Source organism: Homo sapiens, chromosome 8 (genome assembly GCF_000001405.40).
Source record: "Homo sapiens chromosome 8, GRCh38.p14 Primary Assembly".
Lineage (NCBI taxonomy): Eukaryota > Metazoa > Chordata > Mammalia > Primates > Hominidae > Homo > Homo sapiens.
Window position 1 is genome coordinate 8,548,109 of NC_000008.11, and position 8,520 is coordinate 8,556,628.

The 8,520-nt window shown below is 41.0% G+C and overlaps 2 annotated features.

Annotated features, from left to right (window-relative positions):
- Window positions 1,946-2,025: an enhancer, noted in NCBI's record as "active region_26967". NCBI's record gives its function as "activates an Ori minimal core promoter by ATAC-STARR-seq in GM12878 lymphoblastoid cells {active_cell/tissue: GM12878}" and the evidence as "EXISTENCE:reporter gene assay evidence [ECO:0000049][PMID:35858748]".
- Window positions 2,046-2,185: an enhancer, noted in NCBI's record as "active region_26968". NCBI's record gives its function as "activates an Ori minimal core promoter by ATAC-STARR-seq in GM12878 lymphoblastoid cells {active_cell/tissue: GM12878}" and the evidence as "EXISTENCE:reporter gene assay evidence [ECO:0000049][PMID:35858748]".

An 8,520-nucleotide genomic window follows, 5' to 3' on the forward strand; every position in this document is an offset into this window, starting at 1 on the left:
ATTTTGGAATGTTCTATTGAAATTAGTTATCACAGTGAACTTTAAGGGTATGATTTTGTTACCTATTATCAAACATTTCTTTCTTCCAGCCTCATAATAAAAAAGTAACAGTCCTTAGCTCCAATCACAAATAGAATAAATATGACTATAATTTCACAGAGAGAGAGAACATCAAGGTCAAATTTTCAAAGCCACACGGAGATTAGATTGGCACAAATGAATGTATGCATGTATTATAGTCAAGTGAATAAAGTGAAAGTACATATATTGTGTATTCATATCAACGGATACTGTAGGGAAGCTGTTCTCTTAGGCAGGAATTAGCTGTAGTTGACTGAGTTTGCAAAGTACAGCAAGGTTATTAAATAAACAATACAGTAAGACATTCCACTTAACCCAGATCATAAATGAAATCAATCGCAGGCTGTTCATGTCTGTGCTGTGGAAGGCATAAACTGCATTTCCTCTTTCTGTAAGTGGACTGATAAAGAGAAAGGGTGTGCAGTGGATACTGCTCAGCCTGCCCTTTAAAATTATTCTACAGAAAGAGAGAAAGAAACAGAGACCGAGATTGCAACTGACTAACAGTGTGCTGTTCATTGACTCAAGGCACCCAAATCACACGGGCTGCCTCAAAGGTTCCCCACAGGTGGCAAAAGAGACAAACGACCTTCTGGGGCTCTACTTCCAGCAGACAGCAGAGTACATGCAGAAAGAGAATCACTGCAGAGCAAGACCAGCCAGATCGCACTCCCTGCTCAGGCAGCCTCTCTGGGACTGTGGAAATGCTTTGAAACACCCAGCATTGAATAAATGAATGAGTGAGCCCCTGTGCAGTTCATTCACAGGACTTGCACTGAGATGGGGTTGTTTGAAGGAGCTGGGGCGCTCTTCACAAGGAGGAACCTGAATATACCAAATGGCCTGCCTAAGGCCTCCTGCAGTCCTTTGGTTACATGGTCTCTTGGGAGGAGTTTATTGAGATGAGCTTTGCGGCAGTCAAGTTTCCTTTTGTTTGTGGGAAGTAAAACGCAAGAGCTTGTTGAAGAGACCCCTGAGTCAACTTTCCTGAAGCCCACAGTGAGGGAGTGGGGTGGAGGAGGGGATCCCGATAATGGAAGCTCACATTCAATTGTCTGATTTGTGTGCCTCTCCTCAGTGTGGGAGCAAATCACCTTTCAGTTCAATAACAAATGCAATTCAGACCTAGGTGTCAAAGAAAGGCAGGACTTGTCAAATCCTCATCACAGAGATACTGAACACAAAGACCCAGCATCTAGGTCTAGCCACTTCCAGGTTTGCTCATGGCTGACTTCCGGTCCGGTTAGACTGCATCCAGATGAAAAGTCATTCTGATTGGTTGCAGGTTCTGTAGCGACCATAGTTCTTTTGAAGATGGCCTCTGTCTAAATTCTCAGCAGTCCACGGCATTTAAGGAGCCCAGGAAGTTCACAAGAAACAGCTGTAATTACAACAGAGAGAGGAAGGAGGGCAGGGAGGGATCCAAACATGCGAACAAGTTAGCCATCTTTTTTTCTGGATGGAAAATTAAGTGTTTTCTTTAACCCAGAGCCAAAGGCAAGAGGGAAAAAATTTGGAAGAAGCATTGTTCATACCACTCCTGAAGCTGCCCTAGGGAGGCATACTTTTTACTCTTTCTTCTGCCCTCATCTGTAAAACACTTTCCTTAGTTCTAGTCCTTTACTCCATTTCATATTATGCTTTACACTACTAGTCGTAGCTTTTACAATATGTGTGATCCTTGAAGGTAGAGAGGAAGCATATCACACTTTTTGTCACCTCTATTATACCTTGCATGTTGCATAGCTTTTCTTGGCCTGACGAATTAATGCAAATAAGTGTGGTCTTGCTCAGTGGGTTCAGTGCTGTCTACTCTAAACTAAGCAAGACTCTGGAATAATATGAGACTTTTATCCAGAGAAAAAATGATCTGCCTCAACCCACTCTTATTTCCTACTTTTTCAGAGAGGTGAAGACTCTGCCAGTGGCCTCAGTAGGCTCCAGTTGTATGTGAATGTGTGGGTGTGTGGTCCTGCATGGGTCAAACACAGCTCCCACTTCAGGGAGGATGTGGGGACAACAACATGGCTGCTGATTCATAGTTGCCCACAGGATGACTCTTCTTTCCAGGCAGAGAAGGGGGTGGATGAGTTATTCTTTGCTTAAACATCTCTGGGTGAAGAAAACGACTGACATTCTTCAGTGAGCTATTTCAGTTTTCCTTTATACAGAAAATTCTTTTCCATATTCACTCAAAATCCTTCTGCCACAAATTAAGCCAAATTTTCCTGGTTCTCTTCTTTCCAGAGATGGATCACAGGTAGACACCTTCCTGCATTCTGTAACTGGTTGTAGTTAAAAATGTTTTTGAAAACAATTTTTTAAAAAGGCATTTTTACCTATTTCAATGGGTAAAAAAGTGTTTATTTAATGAAATGTTATTAAAATGAATACATTACTAGGAATCCCATTTGAAGTCTACAGGGCTTAGAGAGGAGAGAGAGCTGACGTCTTGCTGTGAAAGTGTTTTGAATTCAAAGTGGAGACAGGGTGGTGTTATGGGACAATCTTTTCTTTGTACAAGGTCCTGGGTGCTCTGTTTTGTGTTGATTGGGTGGGTTGTGTGGGAGATAGGATGGATGTGTTCAGCTGGCTCAAGTGTTTGAGGTGGGAATGTAAGAGGAATTCATTGAGATTTCTATGTGGTGACAGACAAAGAATCTTAAAGCTCTTGCTTCCTTACCTACCTTTATTGAAAAATGCACCCAGTCAAACTCTGTCATCAAGGCAGGAATGATAGGAACTATTTACACAAGACTGTCTGTTGAGTGGGTTCTGTGGAAACCAGACCACCCTTCCTATGGATCATGTGCCAAACTCCTAAAATAACTCTGAGGGTCAGGGCCCTCCCATTATGGTATTTTGCTTTTCTCTGTTGCACAGAACTGCAGGGGTGGAGGGGCTGGGGCAACAGTTTCATTGTCATCGTGCTTCACTGCAGCCTCTCCCACTCCTAATTTATTACCATCCTTTTACTTCCTCTCACACCCTCTCACCTACTTAAAAACGGAAAGAGGAAAGGAGTTACAGGACAGCCCTTTGACTGAGAAGGCAGCTGCCTCTGTTGTGTGCTATCAACAAGTCCAAGCCTTCGTGGCCTATCCAAATACCTCTTCCAAATACTAACTGATACAGAAAATTCCATCTTATTCACTCCCAAGTTCAGATCTCTTCCATGGATTTTTGTATTCATTTTTTCATCTTTATGCAATTACTTTATTTTCTCCACATATCCCTCACACAGGCACAAAAACATTCTCCTAAAATAGTTTAACAATATTTTAGAATCATAACAGAAATGCACAACACATCAGTGTATACTCCTTAGGAATGTAAACACTAGCTGGGAATTTAGAGATCATCTAATCCAACCCTCTTACTTTTCAATGGAAAGGTCAGAGGGTTCAAATCACTGACAAATCAGACAGGTAATTAGTAAGGGAACCAAAATTAGAAATCAGTACAAATGCTTTGTGTAGGACTCTGCATAGGACATGTCACTTTCAGTCAGTCAATGCCCAATATAAATAACTGTGATGTGACTTTGAAATAAGGTATTAAAACTCTCTAATAATTAAGACGGATGAGGACTAAGATGAGGAAGAAAAGAGTTGCCAGAGGCTCAGGTATGCTCTGAAATGTTATATCTGTTGAAACCCAAAGGAATATTAATTAAGGGAGTTTTATTCTGGGGCAAAAGCACATAGATAGCTGTTGTAATTGTCAAGACAAACTCCTGACCTTTCCGTCTGTCAAGTGTCACTGCCATGATTTAAACATTATGGCGCTTGCATGAGCCATTATCTGCATTGCTCTTTGTTATAAATTATACTCAGAATGTTCTACAGCATTACAAGAAGAAAAAAGAGACAGTGCCAGTAGAACAGAGTCTTGTTGGGGCCCAGGGGGTTAGATAACAATGGATAAAAATTAATTCTCCCCCAAATCACATGTATCCCTGCTAGTGTGCCTTATTGCCTTCTGCCTACTCTTGCATTCAGTGGATTATCTACCAATGACAACTAGTAGTCAAGTTCAAATATGGCATGTTAAAAATCAGTCAGACTGTCTTACAGTTTTCATAAAATTGCATGTGATTTTGCAGAAATGCCAGATGATAAAGGAAATACCTATTGGTAGGTGCTTATTTCTTTAGAATGCTAATGAGAATTTTATTGCTAACAATATTTAAAATTAAAACAGTCCACTAATTTTTTAAAAATGCATGAGCAACAATGAGAGTCAGCGGATTCCTCTGACACCACAGCTGTATTAAGAAATACAGTAAGACAAAATTATACCGGGCTTCCTTCACCCTTTAAATGGTTCAGAAATCCTTGAACTTAAAAATCATAGAAAAATGTTCCAGTAATTTGGTTTTATCAGTGACCGTGCTGTCTTGTGGAATGTCTTTCATTTTGGATACAGTTTCTGCTTACTCAGTGTCATGAATGTTAAAGAACAAATTTTGAGTTTAACCACCATACTCTACTCTTCACAGATAACTGAAATTCACATTTTTTTCAACTTTCTTTTATGAAGTATGCAGGAAGTACTGTCAATGAATTAATGTATCTTCTGATCATCATATATTTCCCATTGCTTTAAATCAGTAGTTCTGACCAATGATAGTTTTTATATTCCTAAGCCACCTTACACACCTTTTGTCAGGTTCATAACAGCATAAAGAGGTTATTATTTAAAGAGCCAAGGCATGAGTTCAACCCTGAAATTTACTAGGGACCTCTGGCAAATCACTTAATCTCTGAGTCTTGATTCCTTCATCTGTAAGTGAAAGCATTAGATTAGACAAACTATAAAGTTTCTTCACGTTCTCAGGGTCATTGTATCTTAAATGGTAAAAAGAAGGCCAAGAGAAGGGAAGAAGAGGGTGGGAGGGGCCGTGTTCTCGATCTTAATGTCTGCAAAGTTAGCAGCCAGCAGCACCAGTGAATTCAAACCCTGCCTGCTGGAATCATTTAAAACAGTAGTGAGAGCACTCATTTCCTTGCTAGAACAAGATCTTATTTCATATCAAATGTTGCAGTTCCTTTAGAAGCCAAATTTGAATTAGTCATAATGCAAGAATCCCAAGGTATAATCAGGATTGGATCACAAATCAATTACAGAGTAAATCACTGTATCTGACTTCTTATAAGATCATTTTCTATACTTGCCCATGAATTCTTATCTCTCTTATTGTTCACTTTTAGACCATCACTTAACTAGGTTTTAAAGCAGAGATGAACAAACCTTCTGCAATTGCACATTGGAATATGAGAAACAATTTAGCCAAGGGCATTTTTTCTAATCACTTTGCACTCCAGTAAATTGTGCTCATGCATATTTATATATAAATGCTCAGTCATTCTACACTAAGAAATCCATACCTACCCATTTCCTTGGGGAATGTCTATGAAATCAATTTTTCACATTAGCTGTATTACTGGCAATGCAACCCATAATAGAATGCTCTTTTGCGGGATATGAAGGAAGAGATTAGGGCAGGTGGTATCTAATAGGAGCTCAAAATCATAACTGTTTAGGGGAAGCCCAAGAGAGAACTTGCCTTTGGCATTCAAGAAGAGAGAACACAGCACATTTCTGCCAGTGGCCCTGGGGCCTTTTTATTATGGAGCCCAAGAGGCTTCTGTGGAGAGGCTGTGATAATTAAAACAAGAGTCAGAATGTGGCCCACTCAATCCCGCTGACTAAACTCCCTTGGATGGGGTCTAAGTCAGGCCTGGCAAAGTTAATTTTGCTTGGCAGGAGGTCACATGCAGTGAAGCTCTAGTGAATTTGCCATGAAAGTTCTCAGCAGACCATTCCTACACCACTGGCAATTACGTTTTTGACAGCAGCACGATGTAGCAGTGCATATCTCGTTGCACCAAACCAGCCAACGTAATTGAGTACCTGTTTTGTATCAGGAAATGTGAAGGCCTTGAGGGTACTAAGTTAATCACACATTTTATATCCCTCAAGAGCACTGAGTTCAATCTGGGGTTCAAGGAAACCTTCCTGGAGCAACTGATGCCTGCAGTGAACTTTAACAGAGAGAGAAGAGTTAGCCTTGTGGAGAAGCAGGGAAACCAAGAAAAGAGTAGAGCCTTGGGAAAGCTTGATAACTGCAGTGAAAGGCAATCAGGGTGGTGTGAGCAAAGCACAGCTTGGCAGCCTTTTTCTGCAAGGACCAGATAGTAAATATTCCAGGCTTTGTGGCCCTCCAATACTTAACTCTGCTGCCATAAGATGAAAGCACCATATATGATTGGGCATTGCAGTGTTTTAAGAAGACTTTAATTTTAGACAAGTCAGGTGGTGATATTTGGCCCGTAAACCATAGCCTGCAGGCCCCTGGAGGAGAGCACACAGAGCAAAGCAACATGGTGACTGGGAAGGTCAAGGGCCTGTGACGCTGGGACTCCTTGGCCAGCCCAAGCAGCTTGTGCTTGTGAAACATGAGAGATTGCTAAGGCCTGGGCTGCCCGTATAAAGCCAAAGGCCAGATGGTCTTCACGTCACTTGCTAAAACTTAGGAAGGAAGACCTACTCCAAGCAAAGACATTGGCAGTTGTATCTCTTCTCACAGAATGCCCAGTGCTCCTCGGAGGCCTTGCCTAAACATATGCAAACCAGAGGTTCCCAGCTTGGCCCAGCTCCTCCCTGCACATCCCTGTGAGCATCAGTATCTCTTTCCAGTTCTATCCAAGGGCCTCTGGAGATGAGACCGCTTTTCACGGGCTTGTTCAGGAGCAGAGGAAAGGGACAGGGGCCCTAAAAAGCACCAGTGATTGTCTCAACAGAGTCCATGGGTTTTCTAAACCTACAGGAAGATTTGGGAAATTATACACATTTATGCAAATATATTTTCCATTTCATTACCATTTCCTGTCTCCTTTATTTCCAGACTCCCACCCCAACTGAATTTGTTATGAACCCAACTGAGAATAATTTGGCTCATTCCTCTCATTGTATGACAAATGGGCTGGCTCCCTGCCACACATCCAAAATGTGCCCTTAAGTGAAATGGTGTCTGTGCTCCTCTTGCAACTCCAGGTAAGAGACGAACCCAAGGGTTGCCACCACTCAGAGGAGCACAGCAGGATTAGCCCCACACAGGTGAAAAGAAAGTGAATGGTTCTTTCTGTGAGCAGATTTTCTTTCTAAAACAATGCCTCCTGCAGCTAAAGGAGGAAAAGAGGAAACCAACAATACCAACAGCTAGGGGAAGAGATAGGTGAGGTCTCTGTTTTCTGATGAGGAAGCTAAGCCTTGGAAGCCAGGCTTCAAACCTAGCGGGGGCATAATGATCTTTCCAGTGTACATTTTTGCTTTTGCAAATTAGAAGAGTTATTAAGTTTATGAGTCAGTATCATGAAGATCAAGATGATATCTAAAAGGTTACTGGCATGCAGTTTCCATAATATTGCTAGAAGACAAGACTGAATCATAGCCTCCCAGGAACAGAAGAAACCTCAAAAGTTATCGAGGCTGTTGTTTGGCAGCAACTGGAGCTACGTCCAAGCTGGTGGGTATGCAGCGATGGGCTGGGAACTCATCTCCTCTTGGAAGTGGTAAGTGGTGATATGGAGGCAGTCCAACTGACTCCGGGGTTTGAAAAACAGAAACATGGCTGAGTAAAGCCACCAATTAAAACAGACCCTTGTGAGCACTGCAGAAGATGGTAGTTTTCAGCACATGGTGCTTGTAAGTATCTGACAATTTCATAGCTTGAAACAATTGGGCAGTCAAATAATCAACTTGAAATCTCTGTGCAGTTCGCAAGGTTATTGCCCACAAAATATTAGCTCTAAGATGGTAAAAGGCTATCATGGTGACCTGACTCCAAAGTGAATTCTGTCTTCAGGAAAATCCCAAGTCTTCAAAGGAGCCAAACTGTTGTGGATAAATAGAAGGGAAGCATGAGTATTGTTGTGAAAGAAAACTCTAAAATACAACAGTGTCTATAAATAGTGAGGGCTCCCCAAAAGACTAGAAAATATTTCTTGGAACGAAGAACTGGCTACTTCCACAGAATTTGCCCTTAGACTTTGGATTTATACTGTGGCCACTGCAAGTTGAACATTTTCCCAAATACTCAGAGCAGATGCTCACAACTCATTCCCAAGGCAAAAGCTTCCTCAAATGTCGAGGATACTCTAACCCTTGTAAATTATAAAATGGTCTATGCATGAATATAATTAGATTCAACAATTACAAAATAAAGAAAAATGATGGCTGGGATAGATGCATAAGTTTAATGAAACCCCAAGCATCAAATAGAGGTCAAAAGTTTCTCTTTTTATTAATCTTTAAAGTATGAGTCAGCTGTTGAGTTCATTGTGACAGTTATGGAAATATTTAGTCATCAAACCAAAAATGCTTTATGGCAAACTCCAAATATTAAGTATTTATTTATTTATTTATTTATTTATT